We start from the raw sequence: 24,520 nt of genomic DNA, 5'->3' as shown, positions 1-24,520 counted from the left end.
CTCTGTAAAATGGAGGCCAGAAGTGGGGCAGGTGTGCAGTCATCCCTTGCTGGGATCCCGTCTAGGTTTAAAGTCCATGCTCTTCTGCGACACAACACTGTAATCTGTGAAGTGCACAAAACATTGCCCTGGTGCCACCCAGTAACACAGGGGTGTGTGTGACACTCGGCAGAATCACAGATCCACCCCTCAGGGAGAGGGAGGTCATGTGGAGGCCCTGAGACATAGCTAGTTCCCAGGGGTCCTGGAATCCCTCTCCCTATCTGCAGCCTGCACTAGGGGCACTCAGGTCTATTTTTAACTCAGTGCCCAGTAAATAAATGTGGCGTTGAAGCTGGGGCCCAATGGTCCATTTCCCCTCCCTCATCAATATACATCTCCCCCGCCCTGCCCACCACACACACACACACACACACACACACACACACACACACAAGTTGAAGTGGCCGCCCATAGGTAACCCCCAGTGCTGAGCCAGGGCTCCTGGCGATGTGGTTCAGGCTGGGCCTCCTTCGAGCTGGGGGAGTTGCTGGAGGAACCAGCCCTGCTCCTGTCCTAGTTTTAGCCCAGATTCTGCTTCCCATCAGCAAAGTCCAAGTCACTTTTCCTGGGAACTGGCAGGAAGGGTGTAGACAGGGTTGGGCAGAGAGAGAAGTGGGTGTGAAAAGACAGGGAGGGGCCGGGAGCGGTGGCTTAACCATGTAACCCCAGCACTTTGGGAGGCTGAGGCGGGTGGATCACGAGGTCAGGAGATCGAGACCATCCTGGCTAACACGGTGTAACCCCGTCTGTACTAAAAATACAAAAATTTAGCTGGGCATGGTGGCACATGCCTGTAGTCCCAGCTACTCGGGAGGCTGAGGCAGGAGAATCACTTGAACCTGGGAGGCAGAGGTTGCAGTGAGCCAAGATTGTGCCACTGCACTGCAGTGTGGGCGACAGAGTGAGACTCCATCTCAAAAAAAGAAAAAAAAGGGAGGAAAGTGGCCAGGAGGTGGGTGAGTAGGAGGGAGGAGAAAAAGGAGGAGGGCCTGACCATTCTTCCTGCCGCCCACTTCTCTGGGCAGCAGGGTCACCTGCACCGAGGCTTGCCTGGTTCGGGGCTGGGCAGGCAAGGCTAGGCAGTGACTCAGCCCCAGGCCCAGCCACCCACTCTCACAGGCCCCAAAACTGAGGGAGGAGGGCACAAATCAGGACCTGGGGGCTGAGGTCTCAGCCTCAAACAGAAGTCACTACAACGGGCAGTGGCTCTAGGCTGGGAGCAGTTTCTCCTGCCTGGGGCGTAGTGGGGCGGTGAAGAGGAGAAGGCAGAGTCTGAGGAAGGTGATGTCCAAAGTGAATCTTGAAAGCTGGGTAGAAATGCATCTTCCTTGACCTCTGTCAGCTCAGCTTCCTCCTCTGAACAATGGTATCTTTTTTTTTTTTTTTTTTTTGAGACAAGGTCCCTCAGTTGCCCAGGCTGGAGTGCAGTGGCGTGATCTCAGCTCACAGCAACCTCCACCTCCAGGGCTCCAGTGATCCTCCCACCTCAGCCTCCCAAGTAGCTGGGACTGGGACTACAGGTGCACGCCACCACACCCGGCTAATTTTTGCATTGTTTGTAGAGATGGGGCTTGCCATGTTGCCCAGGCTGGTCTTGAACTCCTGAGCTCAAGTGATCCTTCTGCCTCGGCCTCCCAAAGTGCTGGGATTACAGGTGAGAGCCATCGCACCCGGCCAACAGTGGGTATAATTAATGGGACTTTTTTCATTGGCATGGTCAGGAGGATAGGACACAGCCTCGCTAGTGGTAAGTGCTGGGTGCTGACATGTGGGCCACTGACGCTATGGGCAGGAGGGTTAGCGGGGAGGGGATTTCAGGCACAGTGAACAGCACAGACATGAAGGCGAAAAACGAAAGAAAACAAAATGCCACAGCCCTGAGCCATCCGGGGTGCTGGGAGCAGTGCAGAGTCACTGCCAACTTCTGTGTGTTGCAGGCAGGAGCAGGCGTGGTGAAACTGCGGAGTGGCCGCCAGAGCGATCAGAAGTCTAGCCAAAGAGGCGTGGACCCAAGAGGGCCAACCCTGGTAGGGGGAAGTCCCCAAGACTGGGCCACAAGGGCCTGATCTCAACTCCTAGGTGTTGAGAGAGGCCAGAGGCTATGTGGGGCTTTGATGCTCCTTCTGTGGGGTGAGGGTGGGTGAGAAATTTTGAGGAGGTGCAGGGGAGGAGTCTAGAGGGGTGTGTGTAGGAGAGAGAGAGAGAAAGAAAGGGAGAGAACTATAAAGTTGGAGGCCAATACCAAGGGGCAGCCAGAATTAATGCCTGTTCTGGAGAGGGAGCAAGCAGCACCGGTCTCTTTCCCAACCCCGGGCCGCTTTGCCCTCCAGTACCAGGAAGTGCCTCTGCGGGAGAGAGGCCAGGAGGCTGCTCCACACACATCCTGCTTTTGCTCAGTCTAACTCTCCTCCCTGGCCTGCCTCAGCCCTGCACCCAGACTGTTTCATCAGGTCATAGAGCGGCTGGGTGTGAGTGTGTGGGTGTTTGTGTGTGTGTGCACACACATGCGTGTACATGTGGCATTTCTAGATCAGAGAATGCTCAGAGGCCCTGCTAAAGGTCAGGTCAGTAAGGAGTGAGGGCATGGCCAGCCCCTCAGGTCCTGGCACCCAGATAGCTCCTTCCCACCCAAATCTGCCAGGCCTCGGGGGCAGTGGCAGCTGACAGGCCTCTGAGTCAGGATGGGTGAGGAGGAGGAGCTGAAGGGCCGGCCAAGGAGGAGTAAGTCGTCACCTGCTGAGTGGCGGGTCATTCGTTTAGCCCAGTGATGGGGAGCAGTGCTGCAGGGGGCAGGGGTCGGAGGGGAGGGGGATTTCTGCCATTGAAACAATAGGCACCCTAGTTCTGTGTTACTGGGGCTGGGGGCCAGGAGGCAGGATAGGACATGCTCTTGCCTCCCCACCTCCGCTGTGCTCAGCAGCTGGTGGAGACCTGGGAGGAGAATCCCAGGCTGATGCCTAGCGTGGGCCCAGTAAAGTCTTTGGGGATTTGATGCAACCCCGAGTTCCTGATGGCTCATGGAGAGGCTGTGCCTGCACCTCGTGGCGATGAGCCATCTGGGGCTCGCCCCGCACCCAGCACATGGCTAGGAGCATAGTGAACTCCGTCTCTAGGAATGGGCAGGACCCAGGAAGGCTAGTGAAAAGATGCATTTGAGGCCTGAGCTCTCTGTGTCCAGAAGCAGCCCCCTCAGGTTGTGGGGGGACACTCTGGGTCTTGCACCTGCCAAGGCCCCTGCCACAGAGAATGGGAACAGCACTGCTCCCCCAGGGCCACTCCAAGTTTTCTGGTCTCAAGATGCAGTCCCTGTGGGGCTGTGGGTGGGCCCCCTCTCTGCCTAGCCCAGTTCCAGCTACAGAAGCTGTGTGGAAACATCTCCCCTGAACCAAGTGCCTTTGAACTTTCCAGGAATGCTGGCCTGGGGCGGAGCAGGGGTGGCAGGGAAGGACAGGCGTGGGGTGGGATGTTCCAGAATCTACTGGGACCCAAACCCGAGAGCACCGAGTTCCCACGAGCCAATGCCTGGCTGTGGAGGAACCGGGAGGTCACAGGGATGCAATGGGCAACATCAGGATGAGGCAGGTAGGAGTGTGCGCGCGAGTGAGACACAGGGCTGGAAGGGACCTGGAATGTCACATGTCCATGCCCCTAATGCCAAAGGCTGCCTGGTGCAAGTAATATTACTTTTTCTTTTTCTTTTTTGAGACAGGGTCTCACTCTGTCACCCAGCTGGAGTGCAGTGGTGCGAACACAGCTCACTGCAGCCTCAACCTCCTGGGCTCAAGTGATTCTCCCACCTCAGCTGGGACCACAGGCATGAATTTTCTGTAGAGATGGGAATCTCACCATGTTGCCCAGGCTGGTCTCAAACTTCTGGCCTCAAGTGATGCTCCCACCTTGGCCTCCCACAGTGCTGGGATTATAGACAAGAACCACCATGCCCAGCCTCACTTTTTTTGTTGTTGTTTGTAAAAAATGTTAAAGAAGAGACATGGTAGAGTGTAGTGGTTGAAAGTGCAGACTCAGGCCGGGTGTGGTGGCTCAAGCCTGTAATCCCAGCCCTTTGGGAGGCCGAGGTGGGCGGATCACAAGGTCAGGAGTTTGAGACCAGCCTGGCCAATATGTTGAAATACCGTCTCTACTAACTGGGCGTGGTGGCATGTGCCTGTAATCCCAGCTACTCGGGAGGCTGAGGCAGAAGAATCGCTTGAACCCAGGAGGCGGGGTTGCAGTGAGCGGAGATCGCGACACTGCACTCCAGCCTGGGCAACAGAGCGAGACTCTGTCTCAAAAAAAAAAAAAAATGTAGACTCCAGGCTGGGCGCCATGGCTCACGCCTGTAATCCCAGCACTTTGGAAAGCTGAGGCGGGTGGATCACCTGAGGTCAGGAGTTCAAGACCAGCCTGGCCAACATGGTGAAACTCCATCTCTACAAAAATACAAACATTAGCCAGGCATGATGGCGGATGCCTGTAATCCCAGCTACTTGGGAGGCTGAGGTGGGAGAATCACTTGAACACGGGAGGCGGAGGTTGCAGTTAGCCAAGATCACGCCATTGCGCTCCAGCCTGGGTGACAGAGTGAGACTCCATCTTAAAAAAAAAAAAAAAGGAAAGTGCAGACTCCAGACCCCATAGCCTGGGTGTGGACCGTGACTGCCCACTCCTAACTGCTTTGATGGTGTGAAGTCAGTTTATCTGTCTCTGTGTCTCAGTTTCCACAACTGTGAAATGGGCATCAGAACTGTATCTACCTCACAGGGTCATTACAAGAATGAAATGAGCAAATATAAATGAAGTGTTTAGAAACGGGCCTTACGTCAACTCTATGCAGGTGTGGTTGGTCCTTGCTGAAGGAATGGAATTCCATGTCAGTCAATCGATTATTGCCAGGCCCAGGCCCAGGCCGGCCAGAGCTCTGGCCAACTGGGCCCACATAGGGTGTGTCAGGGCAGCCAGTGTCAGCACATCCAAAGTCCCCGGCCTGCTGAGTTGGCAGAGGGCCTGCCCTGACACTCCCCAGCCCCAAAGAACGCTCTAGAAAAGTGCCTGGGGCTTCCTTAGGTGTCAGTGGGTAGAGGGAAGAGGAGCTTGGGAGCCCCTGACCGTGGCTGAGACCCTCCCGCAGCCCTCGCTGTGTGTCCAGGCCTGGCACGGGGCAGTGGCGCATGTTTTCCATGGCATGTGGAGGGTACGAGGGTGCAGGACTCACTCCAGGGGGGCTGTAGTCACATGTGTGTGCTTATGGGGGCTCAAAATCCTCCAATCCATGGGCGCTCTCCTGCTCTGACTAGAACTGATAGCAGCAAGTCCAGGCCAGTCTGTCTGGCACTAATTCTGAGCTAACTTACACTTCTAATGATTTCATCCAGCAAGTCAGTCAGTCAGGCAGTCAACAAACATTTTTGGAGGCCCTATTGCATGTCACACCATTAAAGTGGAGGTACACAGACGTCTCTGTCTTGAAGGATGGGCTTATTGTGATGAGAAAGGGATTCCTGGCTGCAGGCATTGTGTGCACCAAGGCACAGTGAAAAGGGAAAGCCTGCCCAAGGTGGGAAATGTGGCCGAAGGGAGGGCTAATGGGAGGAGGGCAGGGCAGGAGGCAGGGCTGGGGCTGAGATGAGGAAGGGCCCTGTGAGGCAGGCTCAGGGGTCCAGCATCCTCTGGAAGGAGCCCTTGAAGGTGCAACTTCAAATATCCAGAGATTGAAGGTGACTTTCCTGTCATCCCACGAGGCCTGGTCCAGGAGCTGTTCAGTGAGCCTTGGCTAGTTAATGACAGCATGAGTGTTGGGTGGGTCTGAGGGTCCAGGTTACCCCATACAATGCAGACCACATGACTGGCTCATTGTGGAGTTGTGCAACATGGCATCTCTGTGGCATCTGGGGCCTGGTGTCTGGGCATTAGTGACTGTGCCCATTTGTGTGTGTCAGTGAGTGTCTGTGGGCTGTGGTTCAGCCATTGTATGTGTGTGTGTGTGTGTGCGTGGTGCAGGTGTCTGCCATGATTGGGGCACTCCCCAGGTGCTGGAGGGCTGACGAGTATTAGTCCGTAGATACAGCCTACCCCAATCCCATCCTAGGCACAGCTGCTATGGTGAGAACATCTGGAGGTGATTCCACATCTGGGCTTGCAGTAGTAACAGCAGCAGGATCATACCTGGCTGGAATGTGCATCTCTGGGCACAAGGCCAAGCAGGCGTTGGCTTCCCTGGAGCCTGGCCCGGGGATGTGCAGGGGTGGGAGTTCTGGAGTGGGAGTAGCTGGGTCTTAAGGCTCCTGAGGGTGACTGTGGGGATAAAGGTCCAGCAGCCCTCTCTCCCTGCCTCTCCAACCTCCATCCATCCCCACTCCAAATGTCCATTCCTTCATCCACCCATTTCTGCCTTTCCATTTGTCCATCCATCCTCCTCTGCCTTTCAGCCCATCTGTTAGTCTATCCATTTGTCCATCTGTCCTCCTCCACCTTTCGGTCTGTCTGTTAGTCTATTCGTTTGTCCGTCCATCCTCCTCCACCTTTCGGTCTGTTAGTCTATTCATTTGTCTGTCTGTCCTCAGCCATCTTTCAGTCCATCTGTTAGTCTGTCCATTTGTCTGTCCGTCCATCCTCCTCTGCCTTTTGATCCATCTGTGAGTCTATCCATTTGTCCATCCGTCTATCCATTTGTCCGTCCGTCCTCCTCTGCCTTTCTGTCCATCTGTTAGTCTGTTTGTCCATCTGTCTTCCTCCATCTTTCAGTCCATCTGTTAGTCTATCCTTTTGGCCTCCCATTGGCCCCCTGTCTGTCTCTGGTCCCCTCCGTCACCTGCCTGTTCCCCCAGGCACCTCATTCTTGAGTGGTCTGATGCAGGCTATGATCAGGGGCTTCACTCTGGCCCCTCAATAGCCCCTGTGGCTGCAACTTGGGCCTGCCCAATCCCTAGTGTGTGAGCCTGCCCGGTGCGCCTCTGCCTCACTCTGGAGGGTGTCATGAACTCCTAAAACAGATCTGATGCATCCTTGCCAGTCCTGAAATAATCACACCAACAGCTTCAGATTCCCCTTTCAGTCCTGTTCCCAGATGGTCCTCTTGTCTCTCACCTGGACAAGGTTCCTCTCCTCCAGGGAGGACTCCCTGACCACCCACCCATGGGCTCTGCGGCCACCACATGCTCTACTCATAGGTCTCAATTTGTTGCAGCCAGGCTCAGCCTGTGGGAAACCCGGGCTTTCTCCCAAAAGGGATTACCCATGACATGGACCCAGCCAGACCTTTTCCCACTCAGAATTTCAGCATGGTGCTGTGGCCCCCGCGGGAGGTTCTTCCTGTAGAACACCAGGATCCCCGCTCACCTTCCACACATAGGCTCAAAGCTGCTGCTTCCCAAAGCTCTGCTTCCCTGGGCCACCTCCCACCCTCCCTTGCCTGGACAATGGGTTCGAGGGGCTCACCTGGTCAGAGAGGGACAGACCTCCAGGTGCCGCTCCCTCCAGGGCCTCAGAGAACTCAGAGCGCCAGGGTGGGGGGGGTGAGGGTGGGGTAATTAATCATGGAATGTGTGTCTGTGTGTGTGTGTGCAAGTGTGTGTGGCATTCATTTATAGAACAAACATTTCCTGAGCACTGGCACGTGCCAGACACCATTGCAGGCACTGGAGAGATAGCAGTGAACAAAACCAATGGCCCCTGCCCCCAGGAGGCAGATGTCCCAGCCAGGGAGACCTAGGAGGCTGCAGGGCCTGTGAGTGTCAGGGAGTGTGAGTGAGTGTGAGGATGGTGAGAGCCTGTGGAGAAGGGGCCTGTACAGGAACAGGGCCAGGTCTAAGTCAGGACATGGGTGTTCAGACTCAAGTGTCTGTCTTTGGTGGATAGGAGTGTCCACTGGGTTCTGTGCCAAGGAGTTTGTGTGCCTGTGCAGGCCCAGAATTGACATGTGCCTATCAGCCAGTTTGGGAGGCTGTGTGGCAACCACACCTGGCTGGCTCCCAGGCTGCGGGGCTCTATTTTTAGAAGCGACAGCCTGCAAATCCCCGCACCCACCCCCATCCCTATCCCATACCTGCTCAGGTGCCTAGCCTCTAGGGAGGGCCCGGCTGGCCTATCTGCAGAGAGAGCCCACACTTCAAATGGAGCAGCCTGTGGCCCCCAGGTAACCGGGGTGGGGTGTGCCTGGGTTCCTGCTGATCGATGGGGGAATCCCAGCTGCCTTGCCTCACACCTGCAGCCCTACCTCCTGCCTCCCAGCATAGCCCCTGTGTGGGAGGCACAGCTCTGGAACCCTCCAAGGCTCCGCTGGCCCATGGTGTGCCCTGCCTGATCACCCTCAGAAGTGGGCCAGGCAGGGTTGGAGGTGAGAGGGGAGGAGGGAAGCAGATCAAGGATGACCTCCCATCTTATCAAATATCTGAGCCCCTCCATCACCCCCTCCTTCCATGGGGTCTTCTTCCCTGGCTGCAAGTGGATAGTCCAGGTAGGTAGAAGCTAGGGCTGCCTGGGTGTTGCCCTCCCCTGCCTCTGACACTCCCTCACTCTCTGCACCGTGTGTCCTATTTACCTGATCTTCTCTCGCCCTTGTCACTGCTCTGAGTTAATAACAGTCGTGCATTGATCTGTTAGCAGGCATGATGCTAAGTGCTTTGCGTGTATGCTCTCCTTTCATCCTCAGAGCAACTCTGTGAGGTCAGCAATTGTTATTCCACTAGAAGGGAGAAAGCCGCAGCTCAGAGGCATCCACATCACCCAGTGAGGAGGGCAGAGTGTAGGGCTTCCTGCCCAGGTTCTGGAGAGCCCTTAGCTGTACTGCGGCCTTGGGATCACGCTCTGTTGCTCTCCTCCCAGCCATGGTCCCTTGGTGGGAGCTGAGCTGTGTCCTCGAGGGGTGTGGACTGTGGACATTGTTCACAGGAACCAGAGACATCACTCTTTAGGATTCTACCAGCAACACCTGAATTGGCTCGACATTTGTGGAGGTGATGTTTCCCCGAATTACTCACTTTTGTTTGATAATAATTAAAATCTTTATTTGGTCTTATTTAATATAGTTTAGAAGCTATCTAATCTGGTTTTTTTGGAGAGGCAAACTTCTTTTGAAAATGTAAGTTTTGGCTGGGCGAGGTGCTGTATGCCTATAATCCCAGCACTTTGGGAGGCCGGGGAGGGTGGATCACCTGAGGTCAGGAGTTCCAGATCAGCCTGGACAACATGGTGAAACCCTGTCTCTACTAAGAATTAGCCAGGCCTGGTGGCGGGCACCTGTAATCCTAGCTACTAGGGAGACTGAGGCAGGAGAATTGCTTGAACCTGGGAGGCCGGGGTTGCAGTGTGCCAAAATCATGCCACTGCACTCCAGCCTGGATGTCAGAGTGAGACTCTGCATCAAAAAAAAAAAAAAAAAAAAAAAAAGAAAGAAAAAGAAAAGAAAAAAAAAGAAAGAAAAGAAAATGTAAGTTTTGCTTTTAATTAAAAATAAAGTCGCCGGGCACGGTGGCTCATGCCTGTAATCCCAGCACTTTGGGAGGCCGAGGCGGGTGGATCATGAGGTCAGGAGTTCGAGACCAGCCTGACCAATATGATGAAACCCCGTCTCTACTAAAAATACAAAAATTAGCCGGGTGTGGTGGTGTGTGCCTGTAATCCCAGCTACTCAGGAGGCTGAGGCAGGAGAATTGCTTGGAGCTGGGAGATGGAGGTTGCAGTGAGCTGAGATCACGCCATTGCACTCCAGCCTGGGCAACAGAGTGAGAGAGAGACTCCATCTCAAAAAAAAAAAAAAAGTCTTAGTTCAGAAAACTCAGGATGCACAAAACTATTCAGACTGTTACTTTAGCATTTTCCCATTACTGCATCAGTAATATTCACCACACTTTGCTAGATGTTCATTGATTAGAGTATTGGAATCAAATTCTGCTCTAAATGTGTGTGAATACATTGGAGAGGCTTTGTGTTTTTCACTGTGAAATGCAATTGTGTCTCTTTTTTTTTTTGACAGTCTTTCTGCGTCGCCCAGGTTGGAGTGCAGTGGTGCAATCTCAGCTTACTGCAACCTCCGCTTCCTGGGTTCCAATGATTCTTCTGCCTCAGCTTCCCGAGTAGCTAGGACTACAAGCACATGCCACCACACGCAACTAATTTTTGTATTTTTAGTAGAGACAGGGTTTCGCCATGTTGGCCAGGCTGGTGTTGAACTCCTGACCTCAAGTGATCCACCTGCCTCAGCCTCCCAAAGTGCTAGGATTACAGGTGTGAGCCACTGAGCCCAGCCACAACTGTGTCTTGAATAAGAAGGTGCCTAGAAGTCAAATTAAAGTAATAATAATGACTTATTTTTTTAAATGTGTTTTATTGGCTCCTCTTCTTCTGTGCACTCCCTGGACTGAGTTAGGGGTGCACAGAGGGAGGAAGGAGCAATAAGCACATGTGGGGTCCAGGCTGTAGCCATGGAAGATGGTGGCAACCAGGGGATCCCAGCCACCTCCCATCCTCTGGTCCCTCCCCTGCTGTAGAACCTACAATGGCTCCCTACAGATGCTTCCCAGGGTAGCTCCAAGTCCTCTGTCCAGCAGGCAGCCTTGCCTGCACAGCCTCCCTCTCCTCCTCCCGACAAGCACCCTCTCACCCAGGCAGACACTGCTCCTGCTCTGCCCGTGGCCCGTGGCCTCTTCTCTCGCTGCCCTCCTGCCTCAAGCTGAGGCACCCTACCCACTTCATTTCATTCAATCTGCAGAATGTCCCCACAGGCTAGGTTTTCTTATGCATTTTTTTGTTTGTTTTTTAGAAATGAAGAAACTGAACTCAGAATAGGACAGCAACTTGCCCCAGGTCACACAGCTAGTAAAGAGCACAAGTGGGATTCCAGAGCAGGCTCACCTGACTCCAGTGTGCCATGCAGTTCAGCTGCATTTCATAGATCTTTACTGAGCATAACTCAGTGCCAAGCCCTGTGCTAAGGATCGGGGATACAGACTATTAGGGGAGAGGGATAATGTATATGCACATGCATGCATGCATGCACACACACACACACACACATACACACAGACACACACACAGACACATACATAGACACACATGTACACAGACACACACACAGACACACACACGGACACACAGCACACACAGATACACAGACGCATATACAGATGCACACAGACACAGACACACACACACACAGACACACACACACACAAACACAGACACATACACACACATACACAGACACACACAGACACATCGACACACAGACACACACGTACACAGACACACACGGACACACACAGACACACAGATGCACACACAGGTGTACACACAGACACACACACATACATAGACACACACACACACACACACACACACAGACACACACACACACGTGCACGCGCGCATGGTTCTGATACCATTTCCTGCTGGCAGGTGGTGGGATGTCCTCTGGTCCTCTCTGCCCTTTCCCTTCTGAGTTTCAGATGGGAGGGAAAGCAGACAGGGAGGAGGTGGTAGGTGCTGAATTACTCACCACCCAGTCTTAAAATCTTCACACTTGTGACTTAGACTCCCAGATGGTCCCTTTCAAGAAATGAGCTCTATTTCCCTTTAAAAGAGGGAGAGAGTATGAAAGAGAAAAACGTTTTGTTCTGCAGTTTCAAGTTGTCATGTGGGGGCAATTTGTTCCTTTTCCTCCCTATCTCTATCTCTCTCCTCCCTCACCTTCAACCCAGACTGGTCCTAAGACCACAGAGAGCATCACTTCCACCCATCCTTCCCTGCACCAGCTTTCCCCAAATCCCGGTGTCCAGTGCTGAGCCACTAGGCTGGGGCTTGGGGGGTGAGGCACAAGAGGGTTTCTTCTTTTTGACACTTGGGGGTTGGGAGGGAAGTCAGGGGTCCTTGGCTAGCCCAAGACTTAGATCTGAACTCCTTCACTGTCTCCTACTTTTGTTGAAATGTTGGCTTGTTTGTGGATAGAAAGCTCTCTGGGCCAGGCACGGTGGCTCACACCTGTAATCCCAGCACTTTGGGAGGCCGAGGCAGGCGGATCACCTGAGGTCAGGAGTTCGAGACCAGCCTGACCAACATGGAGAAACCCGGTCTCTACTAAAAATACAAAATTAGCCGGGCATGGTGGCACGTGCCTGTAATCCCAGCTGCTCTGGAGGCTGAGACAGGAGAATCGCTTGAACCTGGGAGGCGGAGGTTGCAGTGAGCTGAGATCGCGTCATTGCACTCCAGCCTGGGCAACAAGAGTGAAACTCCATCACAATAAAAAAAAAACAAAGATTGACTCTAATTTCTTAAAAAGCATCATGCAAACTTGAGACTTCTTTGAAATGAGAACATCTAAACCAACCAATAGCTTTAAAATGTAATGAAATAGTCATGATTTCCAGGCTTTCCAATTAATGAAGTTGTCATACAATTATGGTTTATTGACATTAAATGACATAATTTTCGTTTTCATTTTCTGGTTTTTAAAAAATACTTTGGGCTGGGCACGGTGGCTCACGCCTGTAATCTCAGCATTTTGGGAGGCTGAGGCGGGTGGATCTCTTGAGGTCAGGAGTTGAGACGAGCCTGGCCAACATGGTGAAACCCTGTCTCTACTAAAAATACAAAAATTAGCCGGGTGTGGTGGGTGAGTGTCTGGTAATCCCAGCTACTCAGGAGGCTGAGGGGCGAGAATCACTTGAACCTGGGAGGTGGAGATTGCAGTGAGCAGAGATCACGCCACTGTACTCAAGCCTGGGCAACAGAGTGAGACTCTGTCTCAAAAAAAAAAAAAAAAAAAATGAAGCCAGTATGTCCCCTCTCACCTTCCAAGTCTCAAACCTTTTTGCAGGAGCATAAAATTTTGATAGGCCCCAGACACTGCCTATGTGACTTAAAGAACGAACAGCCTGGCCGAGGGTGGCTCCTTGAATATTGTTAAAGAGAAGTGAGAGAGAGAGACAGAAATACAAATGATTTGGAAACATGAAAAAAAAAAAAAGCTAACATCTCTCATCATAAAGAATGCAAATTAAAATGAGATACTGTTTTTTTCATATCTCAGATTGGCAGAGACCAAAAAGTGATTTTTTGTACAATTTGGTGCAAATTTTTAGAGGACTATTGGATGATATCTATCATAATGCGAATTGCTCATTCCTTTGCCCCATCAATTACACTTCAAGGAAGCTGAGCTCCAGATACACTCACAGATATACAAAGATGCCTGTAGAAAGACTTTCATTGCTGTGAAAAACTGGAAACAGACTAGATATCAACTGACAGACAACTGACACAGATGGCAAGACATCACAATCTGGAATAGTTCACAGCCATGAAAGGTGTGCACGTGTTGATATGGAACAAATACCTCAATACAGAATTAAGTGAAAACAATTCAAGGTGCAGAGCTGTGTGTAATGTATGATTTCTTTTGTGAAAAAAGGAAAACAATACACACCACACACATATGTTTGTGTTTATTTATAGTTATATACTAGGAACTGCCTAGAAATACTTGGAAGAAGACTCAGAAATTGAGAAGAATAGTTGTTTCTGAGAGGGGAACTGTTTGCTTGCTCTGTTTAATTTAATTTTTTACTTTTAATTTTTTTTTGAGATGGAGTCTTGCTCTGTTGCCCAGTCTGGAGTAAAGTGGCATGATCTCGGCTCACCGTAACCTTTGCCTCCTGGGTTCAAGTGATTCTCCTGCCTCAGCCTCCTGAGTAGCTGGGATTATAGACGTGTGGAACCATGCCCAGCTAGTTTTCATATTTTTAGTAGAGACGGGATTTCACCATGTTGGCCAGGCTGATATTGAACTCCTGACCTCAGGTGATCTGCCAGCCTCCGCCTCCCAAAGTGCTGGGATTACAGGCGTAAGCCACCACGTCTGGCCTAATTTTATTTTTTAATTATAAGTGCATATCTCTTTTTTAATTTAAAAAAATCTAGTTAGCAAACAGATAGACAAATGCCTGTGGAATAAAAGAAGTAAAACAAACGAATGAATGACTAAATGAATGGATGAATGAATTTTAGGTGCTTGGTTGGGGAAGGAACTCCACTGAAGGCCTGGTGTGGTGGCTCATGCCTGCAATCCCAGTAATTTGGGAAGCTGAGGCAGGAGGATCGCTCAAGGCCAGAAGTTCAAGACCAGCCTGGGCAACATAGCAAGACCCCCCCCATCTCTACAAAAAATAAAAAAATTAGTCAGGTATGGTGTCACATACCTGTAGTCCCAGCTACTCAGGAGGCTGACAGGAGGATTGCTTAAGCCTAGGAGTTTGAGGCTGCAGTGAACCATGATCACACCATTATATTCCAGCATGGGTGACGGACCTCGACCCTGTCTCTTAAAAACAAACAAACAAAAAAGGCCGGGTGCAGTGGCTCACGCCTGTAATCCCAGCACTTTGGGAGGCCAAGGCGGGCAGATCAACTGAGATCAGAAGTTCAAGGCCAGCCTGGCCAATAGGGCAAAACCGCATCTCTACTAAAAGTACAAAAATTAGCCAGGTGTGGTGGTGGGCGCCTGTAATCCCAGCTACTTGGGAGGCTGAGGCAGGAGAATCGCTTGAGCCCGGGAGTCACTGCACTCCAGCCTGGGAGACAGAGCGAGACTTTTTCTCTAATAATAATAATAATAATAATAATAATAATAAAATAATAATAAGAAGAAGAAGAACTGCACTGCATCCTGGAGCCCAAGAAGCTCCCACCACCTGGTGGAGACACAGAAAGAGCAGAGAACCCGATGTTCTATGCAACTGTGGGAGGAGGGGCCTGGAGGAGTCATGAGGGCTTTTCCTAGGAGGCCTGAAGAATGGAGAAGGCTGAGCCGAGGGGAAGGAGGAATGGTAGGGGGTGGTTTGTGGGTTTTTGTTCTGGGAGGCCTTCCTTTCTCCCCTGCTCCCACCTGCGGCTCCTCCCTTGAGTATATGTCAAGCCTGGGAAGCCCCAACCCCTAGCGTGGTACCTGGCATACAATCTATGGCAATAAACAGTGGTTGATCGAACTGATGGAATCAGTCACTGGTTAATTCAGGCGACAGTGAATTAATTACTCCCCTTTCCTACCCGAACATCCCCCCACAAACAACAACAGATGACTTTCTCAGAGCTGCCATGGATAGCTGTACAGACTGTCCACTGCACAACTCCAGGAGGCTCTATTTTCCTAGACTGTCATGTGAGTGATGCCTCCTGAAGCTGTGGGACATGGTGCACCTGCAAAACACTGTTTCTTCCTCTTCTAAACTCAAGCGAATTTAATCCACATGAAGAGTGAAAGGGCTCAGGGAACGAGGATCTCCCAACTCTGACACTGCAGGGTTTCCCCTCCCTTTTCCCTCCTGTTCTTACGGCCTCGCCCTTTCCTTTATTCCTTTCTAACTTGGGCTTGAGGCAACTTAGCCAGATCTGGCCAATTACACTACAACTCAACTTTACAGCCTGGAATTTGCTTGCAGTACGATCTCAGGCAAGTCCCGGAACCTCTCAGGGCCTCAGTTTCCCCATATGAGAAATAGGTAAACGTGTAGGGAGCAATTCTTGATCATCCTCCTTGGCTTGAAGGGAACGTATCGGGGTAAAATGTCGAAGAAATGCATCCCTATGGGACCTGGCATTCTCGAAGGGACAAGTCCCAACGTCCTGTCCAGTCCTGCCTGGCCCTACTTACCCTTGAGACCTACACTCTGCTTCATGGGCAACATCCTCGCATGGAAGGAATTGTGCTGGGAGCAGCCTTGGCCAAGTCCTCACTGACGATACTTACTGTGTGCCACTGAGCAAGCTGCAAGCCCTGCCTGGGCCTCAGTTTCCTTTCCTGTAGAATGGGAACTTAGGCCAGATCAGCAAGTGTCGAATGCCAGACTGGGTCAGGCGCGGTGGCTCACGCCTGTAATCCCAGAACTTTGGGAGGCCGAGGCGTGTGGATCACCTGAGGTCAGGTGTTCGAGACAAGCCTGGCCAACATAGTGAAACCCCATCTCTACTAAAAATACAAAAATTAGCCAGGTGTGGTGGCAGGTGCCTTTGAGGCAGGAAAATCACTTGAATCCGGGAGGTGGAGGTTGCAATGAGCCGAGACCACGCCATTGCACTCCAGCCTGGGCAATAGAGTGAGACTCTGCCTCAAAAAAAAAAAAAGCTAGACTGAGTCTTTCATGGCCTTTTCTTTTTCGCTTTAATTTTTGTAATTTTGGTCTTTCTTCTTTGTGACTACAAACATCATACATGCTCATAAAACTTCAAACACTTCCAAAATAGGTAATGTACCAAGGGAAAACCAACCCTGAGGCTCACTGCTAACTCACTGCTAACATTTTTTTGGGTAACTTAATTCTGACATAATTTCAAATTTACCAAAAAGTTGCAACAATACTACAAAGACTCTAGTATAACTTTTTTGCAGATATACTAATTGTTTACATTTTACCCCTTTTACTTTATTTTTCTTTATATATGTTTATGTGTGTGAATGTGGATGTGTGTATGTGTAATTTTTTCCTGAAATTTCCCAATTAAGAATAAGTTGCAGACATCATGCCCTTTTACCTCTAAATACTTCAGGGTGTATTTCCTAAGAACAAGGATGCTCTTTTACAGTGCAAGACTTACGTAACTCCTGCATGGTAGACACGGGAAACTCAGCATTGATCCAATACTATTCTCTAATCCACAGCCCATATTCAAGTTCAGCTGTGTCATGATCTTTTCACAGGTTTCCAGCAAAAGTCCTGAAAAGTCCTGGAAATTCAGGGCAATATAATGAGTTTTCTTAAAGCCAATATGTATTTAGCTTAAAGGATTATGCTCTATTCTAAAACCTGCTCTCCTCTCTTTTTATTTTTTTGGTGTTTAAGATGTCGCTTGTCTCTTTTTTGATGAAATGATGGTGCCAGGAGAAAGTGATTTGTTAGCCTAGGCTCATGTCTGCAGTCCCAGCACTTTGGGAGGCTGAGGTAGGAGGATCACTTGAGGCCAGAAGTTCGAGGCTAGCCTGGGCAACAAAAAAATAAATAAATAAATTAGCCAGGCATGGTGTCGTGCACCTGTAGTCCCGGCTACTTGGGAGGCTGAGGTGGGAGGATTGCTTAAGCCTTAAGAGGCGGAGGTTGCAGTAAGCTGAGATTGCACCACTGCACTCCAGCCTGGGTGACGGAGCGAGATCTTGTCTCAAAAAAGAAAAAAAAATGGTTTATTATTTCTCTGATATTCTTACTTGACAAAATAAAAACTGGGTGGTTGAATGTTAGTCCACGGACTTCTTTTGTAGAGATGCCCCTATATGGCCCCTCCAGCTCCCGTGGTCTCTAATTCTGGGACCCCTCACCTGAGGAAGGTTTCCTGCGCCCTGTTGAGAGCACAGCCACTCCTGAGGCTGGGGTGGGGGCTGGGATAGGCAGACACAGGCCCTGCCCCAGGAGCAAATGGTTTCTTACCCAGCAGAGGGGACCTTTATATGTTTTTTTGTTTTGTTTTGTTTTGTTTTTTTGAGACGGAGTCTCATTCTTTGGCCCAGGCTGGAGTGCAGTGGCATGATCTTGGCCCACTGCAACTTCCATCTCCTGGGTTCAAGCGATTCTCCTGCCTCAGCCTCCCGAGTAGCTGGGACTATAGGCACGCACCACCATACCCAGCTATTTTTTGCATTTTTAGTAGAGACAGGGTTTCACCATGTTGGCCAGGCCGATCTTGAAAGCCTGACCTCAGGTGATACTCTTGCCTCGGCCTCCCAAAGTGCTGGGATTACAGGTGTAAGCCACTGCGCCTGGCCCACCTTTATGTTTTCCAGACTCTCTGGCCTCTGTCTGGAACCTTCCTGACCTTGTGAGTCTCCCCAAGAGGCAGACTCTAGGCACCAGGCCTCACTTTCCCAGCCTCCCTTGCAGTTGCTGCAGGCTTGTGACCTGGCTCAGCCAATCAGACACACACATTCAGCAACCCTGACTCAGGCAGAAGACACAAAGAAGCAGAGATGGAGTGCATCTGCCCCAAGTGGAGGCAGCAGCAGCAGCAGGAGGGAGGTGTCGGGGCAGTGGGGCCGCAGGGCCAGTCCTCAGGTTGGTTACTCAGTTGTCCTCCCTGGTCTGTCCTCAAGGCGTGATTTGGGCTGGGGTTCTGGCTGCCGTCCAGCCCTCCCTGGTTGCTGTGAGCCTGGCTCTCTAGCCAGCCCTAGAAGTCCGTGAGTTAGTTCTCTGTTGCTTGCAACCAAGAACCCTGACAAGTAAGTACAAAGAAGTCAGTATTCATGGGGATGGCAAGGAAGGGGGGCCTGGAGTGTGGACACATCTGGGCTTGATAAGCAGTGATTCTGAGGCATGGGCAGCCATGGAGGAATCTTGTTGCCTTGTCTGAAATGTGGATGGGACACCCTGTCTAGGTGCTAGGTGGGGAAGCCCAGACAAGGAGTGCTGTGGGTAAGGGGTGGGAGGGATCTAAGAGGGGAGAGCCTAAAGCTGGGGACTGAGGATTGAACTGGGAGGAGAGAGATGGACTCAGGAAGAAGAGGAGGGTGGCATTGCAGAAGGAGATAGCCAGATTGGGTCACATGGTTCCACATGCTTAAAATATTTTTTCACCTTTTTCTTTTCTCTTTTTTTTATTTTTTATTTTTATTTTTGAGAGGGAGTCTTGCTCTGTCACCAGGCTAGAGTGCAGTGGCACAATCTCAGCTCACTGCAACCTCTGCCTCCCAGGTTCAAATGATTCTCCTGTCTCAGCCTTCTGAGTAGCTGGGATTACAAGCATGCACCACCACACCCAGCTAATTTTTTTTGTATTTTCAGTACAGATGGGGTTTCATCATGTTGGCCAGGCTGGTCTTGAACTCCTGTCCTCAGGTGATCCGCCCACCTTGGCCTCCCAAAGTGCTGGGATTACAGGTGTGAGCCATCGCGCCCGGCCTTTTTCACCCTTTTCTATATGCCAGGCAATGTATTGGTTAATAAAACAGTCCAGGGATGGGTATTATCCTCATTTTACCTACAAAGAAATTGTGTTACAGGAGGATTAAACAACCTGAATAAGATCAGAAAACCAGAAAGGGACAGGGTCAGAATTCAGACCTAAGTCTGCCTAACTCTGACACTGATGCTCTTAACAACCTCAACAGGTGCTCAGATGAGGAAGCAAAGTCTCTGCCTCAATCCCTGAGTTTTTATATAGTCGGCCCTCAGTGTCTGTGGGTTCCTCATCTGTGTATTCAACCAACTGCTATCAAAAACATTTGCGGGCCGGGTGCGGTGGCTCATGCTTGTAATCCCAGCACTTTGGGAAGCTGAGGCGGGCAGATTGCTTGAGGCCAGGAGTTCAAGACCAGCCTGGTCAATATGGTGAAACCTCGTCTCTACTAAAAATACTAAAATTATCTGAGCATGATGATGCACGCCTGTATTTCCAGCTACTTGGGAGGCTGAGGCAGGAGAATCACTTGAACCCAGGAGGCAGAGGTTGCAGTGAGCTGACATTGCGCCACTGTACTCCAGCCTGGACAACAGAGTGAGACTGTCAAAAAAAAAAAAAAAAAAAAAAAATTGAAAAAATATGAGGAGGCTGAGGCAGGCAGATCGCTTGAGCCCAGGAGTTCAAGATCAGCCTGGGCAACATGGTGAAACCCCATCTCTACTAAAAATACAAAAATAAATTAGCTGGGTGTGGTGGCGCACACCTGTAGTTCAAGCTACTTGGGAGGCTGAGATGGAAGGATTACTTGAGTCAGGGAGGCAGAGGCTGCAGTAAGCCAAGATTACACCACTGCACTCCACCCTGGGAGACAGGAGACCCTGTCTCAAAAAAAAGTTTTTGAAAAAAAGTTGTGTCTGTACTGAATACACAGACTTTTTTCTTGTCATTATTCCCTGAACAATATAGTGTGTACATTTATGTACTGTAACAACTATGTACATACCATTTACATTATAATTAGGTATTTAAAGTAATCTAAAGATGATTTAAAATACAGAGGAAAGGCTGGGTGTGGTGGCTCACACCTGTAACCCCAGCAATTTGGGATGCTGAGGCGGGTGGATCACCTGAGGTCAGGAGTTCGAGACCAGCCTGGCCAACATGGTGAAATCCCATCACTACTAAAAATACACAAATTAGCCAGGTGTGGTGGCGGGCGCCTGTAGTCCCAGCTACTCAGGAGGCTGAGGCAGGAGAATGGTGTGAAGCTGGGAGGCGGAGCTTGCAGTGAGCCGAGATAGCGCCACTGAACTCCAGCCTGGGCCACACAGCGAGACTCCATCTCAAAAAGGAATTTTATCACTGTGAGATAACACACTTTTCTTCTTGTCTAAGCCAATTGAATAGGAGTTCTGTTTCTTGTCGCTAAAATATCCTTACTAATTTGGTATGCTAATAGCTGCAGCAGGAACAACAGCCATCAGTTAAAAGGGGAAAACCTGACTCCTTGACCAAGGGGGACCCTGAGAATTCCCTTCGCCGCTGGTTCAGTGGGGAAGAGGGAGAGAGTGTGCAGAAGCACAGGCGGCCCGAGGCCCTTGCACTCTGAATCTTGTGGCAGGCAGAGAGCTCCCATCGGAGGAGGCGCCGCTGCTGGCCAGCCAGATTTCCAACTCCCATTTCCTGTAGGGTCAGCAGAGGTGGAGGATGGGGTAGGCAGAGGAAAGCAGCTTTAGTTTCCGAATCAGGATGGAAAACAGATGTCCCAGTACCCCGCTGGGCCCAGATTCACCCTGGACAGAGGCTGGGCCTGTTCTCAGCCCTGACCCGTCCACCAACCTCCTGTCCGCCACATCAAGTCCAGATGTGGCTTCTTCCAAGTTCTAATAATAATTTTGATTTGTTGCAGCGAAGCAACCTTCACCCCCTAGCTCAACCCTAAACTTACCAACTCACCATGGAGTAGAGAAGGAGTAACACTATGAAAGCTTTGTAAGGAAACCTGGGTGGGGTAGAGAGGAGTGTGAACTTGAGATTCAGACCAATGTGGGTTCAACCACAGCCTGGTCTTTTACTAGCTTTGTGATCTCAACCATTACATCAGTCATCAGCTTCTGTGTAAGAAGCCACCACAAAACCTAGTGGCTCAAAATAACAACTGTTTATTGCTCACGATTCTAAAATTTGGGCAGGGATTGACAGGACAGCTCACTTTTTCTCTACATAGTGTTGCAGGGAATTTTGCGTGTGTGTGTGTGTGTTTTGAGACAGGGTCTCACTTTGTCACACAGGCTGGAGTGCAGTGGTGTGATCATAACTCATGGCAGCCTCAAACTCTCGGGCTCAAGGGATCCTCCTGCCTCAGTCTGCCAAGTAGCTAGGACTACGAGTGCACATAACCATGCCTGGCTAATTTTTAAATGTTCTGTAGAGTCAGGGTCTTGCTATGCTGCCCAAGCTGGTCTCGAGCCCCTGGGCTTCCTCCCTCTTCACCCTCTCAAAGTGCTGGGACTCCAGGCACAAGACATGGCGCCCTGCCCATGGTGTTGTGTTTTGTAAGTTAAGACAATGGTGCATGTGCATGAGCAGAGGAAGTCCATAAAATGCATGTCCACCCTGTTCCTGGTCTCTCATCTCTGTACAGATCATTCCTTTTCTTTTCATCTGTCCTTACTCATCAGTAAACCAAAGGAAGAGAGTGTTGGTAGAATATATGCATAGCAAGAAGAGAAATTAAAAGGTGTTAGTTTTGGCCAGGCACGGTGGCTTATGCCTGTAATCCCAGCACTTTGGGAGGCCGAGGCAGGTGGATCACCTGAGGTCAGGAGTTAGAGACCAGTCTGGCCAACATGGTGAGACCCCGTCTCTACTAAAAAAAAAAAAAAAAAAAACATTAGTAAAGTGTGGTGGCACACACCTGTAATCCCAGCTACTCAGGAGGCTGAGGCAGGAGAATTGCTTGAAGGTGGAGGTTGCAGTGAGCCGAGATCGCGCCACTGCACTGCAGCCTGGGTAACAAGAATGAAACTCTGTCTAAAAAATAAAAAATTTAAAAAAAAAAGTTGTTAGTTTTGTGTGGTGTTCCCACTCTTCTGGTAGGAATGAAATATATATGCATGTATGACCTATGAAATATGAATTGCATAATTCTGATGATTGTACATATGAGCTAAATGCTCTTTTTGCATTTAAAACTGGCTTTGCACCATATAAAGTTGAACAGCAAAATTCATAGTAACATTTTCAAATTTTAGCTTTTTTATTAGGGTAGCATTAAATAGCAAGTTAAAAACACCATGGTGAGTTAAGGGAGAGAGACTATCAAAAGAGAAAGCTTTATATTTTAGTGCCTCTAACAATGTTTATCTTGCTTTTTGAATAAGGGGCTCCACATTTTCATTTTGCTTTGAATTCCAAAAATTGTATAAGCCTAGGCATAGGCCTCTTAAAGCCTGTGCCAGAACCGACACAGCATCACTTTTGCCACATTCTATTGGTCAGAGCAAGTCACAAGGGCAGCCTAGAGCCAAGGAAGAGGTGGGGGTATGCAGGTGTGTGTGTGTGTGTGTGTGTGTGTATGTGTGTGTGTGTGGTGCGGAACTGGCTCCACCTTTTGAAGGGAAGAACAGCATTCTAATACAGAGAGGAGAGGAATTGTCAGTGACCATCTTCGCAGACAATCTACAACCACCATAGGTCATCCCCTTTCTGATCTCATCTTCTTATCTGTAAAATGGGAATGATTCCCCAGGGTTGATGGAGAATAAGGGAATATTGTGCTTGCAATTTCCTGGAACATGGTGATGCCTCATTCAGGGTTGGTCCCTCCCCTTCTATTTTTTGTTTTGGGAGGGCGGGGAATGGAGCCTCACTTTGTCGCCCAGGCCGGAGTGCAGTGGCACAATCTGGTCTCACTGCAACCTCTGCCCCCCGGGTTCAAACGATTCTCCTGCCTTAGCCTCCCGAGTAGCTGGGACTAGAGACGTGCAACACCACGCTCTACTAATTTTGTATTTTTAGTAGAGACAGGGTTTCACCATGTTGGCCAGGTTGGTCTCAAACTCCTGACCTCAGGTGATCCGCCCACCTCGGCCTCCCAAAGTGCAAGGATTACAGGCGTGAGCCACTGCGCCCAGCCCCGCTTCTATTTCTTAATCGTGCTTTATAAATGCTTACTGATTTGCTGTCTCATTTCAGTCATTCATTCACTTAATCTTTATTGAGTCCTATGAGTCAGGCTCTGCTCTGAGAGCCAGGGATCACAGCTGAGAATAAAACAGACAAAAGTCCTTGCCCCTATGGAGTTCGTTTTGACAAGAGAGACAGACAATAAATGAGGCAAACAAATAAAATACGTATTGTGTTGGGAAGTAAAGAGGCCAAGGAGAAGGAAAAAAAAACGGTAGGGGGCTAGAGAGTTCTGTGGTGAGGGCCCAGTGTTCGCTAGGGCGGCCTGGGAAGGCCTCACTGAGAGGAAGTCATCTGAGTAAATCCTAAAGGAGGAGCCCTGGGGATGTTCCAGGCAGAGAACAGCTAGTGCAAGGGCGCCGAGAGGGGAGCACGTCTCAGGTGAGTGAGGGGTGGTGAGGGGTCCCGGGTGGCTGGCGGAGGGAAGAAGGGGAGAGATAAGGGAACTAGGGAGGGCAGATCAGGAAGCATCCCCACTACCCGCCCCCACAAAGGAATTTGTCTTTTACTATGAATAAGATGAAATCACAGAGGCTGGCGTGGAGGAGGAGAGCAGTGGCTGCAGGGTAGGCCAAAGACTATAGTGGGAGCAAGAAGAGGCAGGGAGACTGGTGGGAGGGTGGCCTGGCCAGGGGCGTCCCACTGGAGGTGGGAGAGGTAACTGAATTCTGAACAGTGCTTTGGAGTTAGACAGGACTTTCCTGTCAAATCACAGGATATCAATTTGGCATGACAAGCAGGTGTTATCAAATCCTCATGTTATAGAAGACAGCATCAAACCTTGGCGAGGCTGGATGACATGCATCGTGTCACGTAGTTACTAAGCAGTGTCTTTCTGAAGGCAGGAAGGTTGCGGGGTCTGTCTGAAGCTGACAGTAACGGATGTGTGGTCTGCACGTGGGTGTGTCTGTAAGTCTTGCCTTTCTCTGGGTCTCCATATCTGTTGTCACCCCATCTCCACCCCCTACTGCCACCTGTCAGCTTCTGCTCTTCTTACGCATTGCAGACACATCTTCATCTTCTCCCAAGCCCATTTCTAAGGGGCCTGTATGTTTCTGGTGCCCAGAGTGTATGTGGGCGACCGTTGTAGCATCGGCATGCCTCATAAGAGTGTGAATGCCCCAGTGTGTGTGTTTCTGAGTTTGTGTGCATTACTTTGGCTGTGTGTGAGGTGTGTGTGCATACTGCTGGCTGTGAGCACCTATAGATGGGGGGCTTAAGGGACTGGGTGTGTGCACGAGAGTAAATGTGTGTGCAAATGTGTGAGCACATGGAGGTATCCTCTCTCCTCCTTCAAATTTGCTCCCATCCTGAAAAGCCCAGGTCAAGCCCACTTCTGCAAGAAGTCCCCTCACTTTTCTAGGCCATAAGAAGCCCTCCACCGCTGACATCCCACCACCCCCTCTGTCAGAATCAC

The 24,520-nt window shown here is 50.4% G+C and overlaps 7 annotated features.

The window, feature by feature from the left end:
• Positions 2,395-2,590: a silencer, noted in NCBI's record as "fragment chr2:43385646-43385841 (GRCh37/hg19 assembly coordinates)". NCBI's record gives its function as "represses an EF-1alpha promoter that drives an FKBP-Casp9 reporter gene in an ReSE screen in HepG2 liver carcinoma cells {active_cell/tissue: HepG2}" and the evidence as "EXISTENCE:reporter gene assay evidence [ECO:0000049][PMID:32094911]".
• Positions 2,478-2,547: a silencer, noted in NCBI's record as "silent region_11418". NCBI's record gives its function as "represses an Ori minimal core promoter by ATAC-STARR-seq in GM12878 lymphoblastoid cells {active_cell/tissue: GM12878}" and the evidence as "EXISTENCE:reporter gene assay evidence [ECO:0000049][PMID:35858748]".
• Positions 2,805-3,323: an enhancer, noted in NCBI's record as "H3K4me1 hESC enhancer chr2:43384913-43385431 (GRCh37/hg19 assembly coordinates)". NCBI's record gives its function as "activates a minimal SCP1, AML or CMV promoter by ChIP-STARR-seq in primed H9 embryonic stem cells {active_cell/tissue: H9 hESC(primed)}" and the evidence as "EXISTENCE:reporter gene assay evidence [ECO:0000049][PMID:30033119]".
• Positions 8,113-8,261: a silencer, noted in NCBI's record as "fragment chr2:43379975-43380123 (GRCh37/hg19 assembly coordinates)". NCBI's record gives its function as "represses an EF-1alpha promoter that drives an FKBP-Casp9 reporter gene in an ReSE screen in phorbol 12-myristate 13-acetate-treated (for megakaryocytic differentiation) K562 erythroleukemia cells {active_cell/tissue: K562(+PMA)}" and the evidence as "EXISTENCE:reporter gene assay evidence [ECO:0000049][PMID:32094911]".
• Positions 19,960-20,530: an enhancer, noted in NCBI's record as "H3K27ac-H3K4me1 hESC enhancer chr2:43367706-43368276 (GRCh37/hg19 assembly coordinates)". NCBI's record gives its function as "activates a minimal SCP1, AML or CMV promoter by ChIP-STARR-seq in naive and primed H9 embryonic stem cells {active_cell/tissue: H9 hESC(naive and primed)}" and the evidence as "EXISTENCE:reporter gene assay evidence [ECO:0000049][PMID:30033119]".
• Positions 20,531-21,102: an enhancer, noted in NCBI's record as "H3K27ac-H3K4me1 hESC enhancer chr2:43367134-43367705 (GRCh37/hg19 assembly coordinates)". NCBI's record gives its function as "activates a minimal SCP1, AML or CMV promoter by ChIP-STARR-seq in naive and primed H9 embryonic stem cells {active_cell/tissue: H9 hESC(naive and primed)}" and the evidence as "EXISTENCE:reporter gene assay evidence [ECO:0000049][PMID:30033119]".
• Positions 20,839-20,908: an enhancer, noted in NCBI's record as "active region_15661". NCBI's record gives its function as "activates an Ori minimal core promoter by ATAC-STARR-seq in GM12878 lymphoblastoid cells {active_cell/tissue: GM12878}" and the evidence as "EXISTENCE:reporter gene assay evidence [ECO:0000049][PMID:35858748]".

The sequence above is a fragment of the Homo sapiens genome, chromosome 2 (genome assembly GCF_000001405.40).
Source record: "Homo sapiens chromosome 2, GRCh38.p14 Primary Assembly".
Taxonomy (NCBI): Eukaryota; Metazoa; Chordata; class Mammalia; order Primates; family Hominidae; genus Homo; species Homo sapiens.
This window is presented reverse-complemented; position numbering and strand designations above follow the sequence as displayed.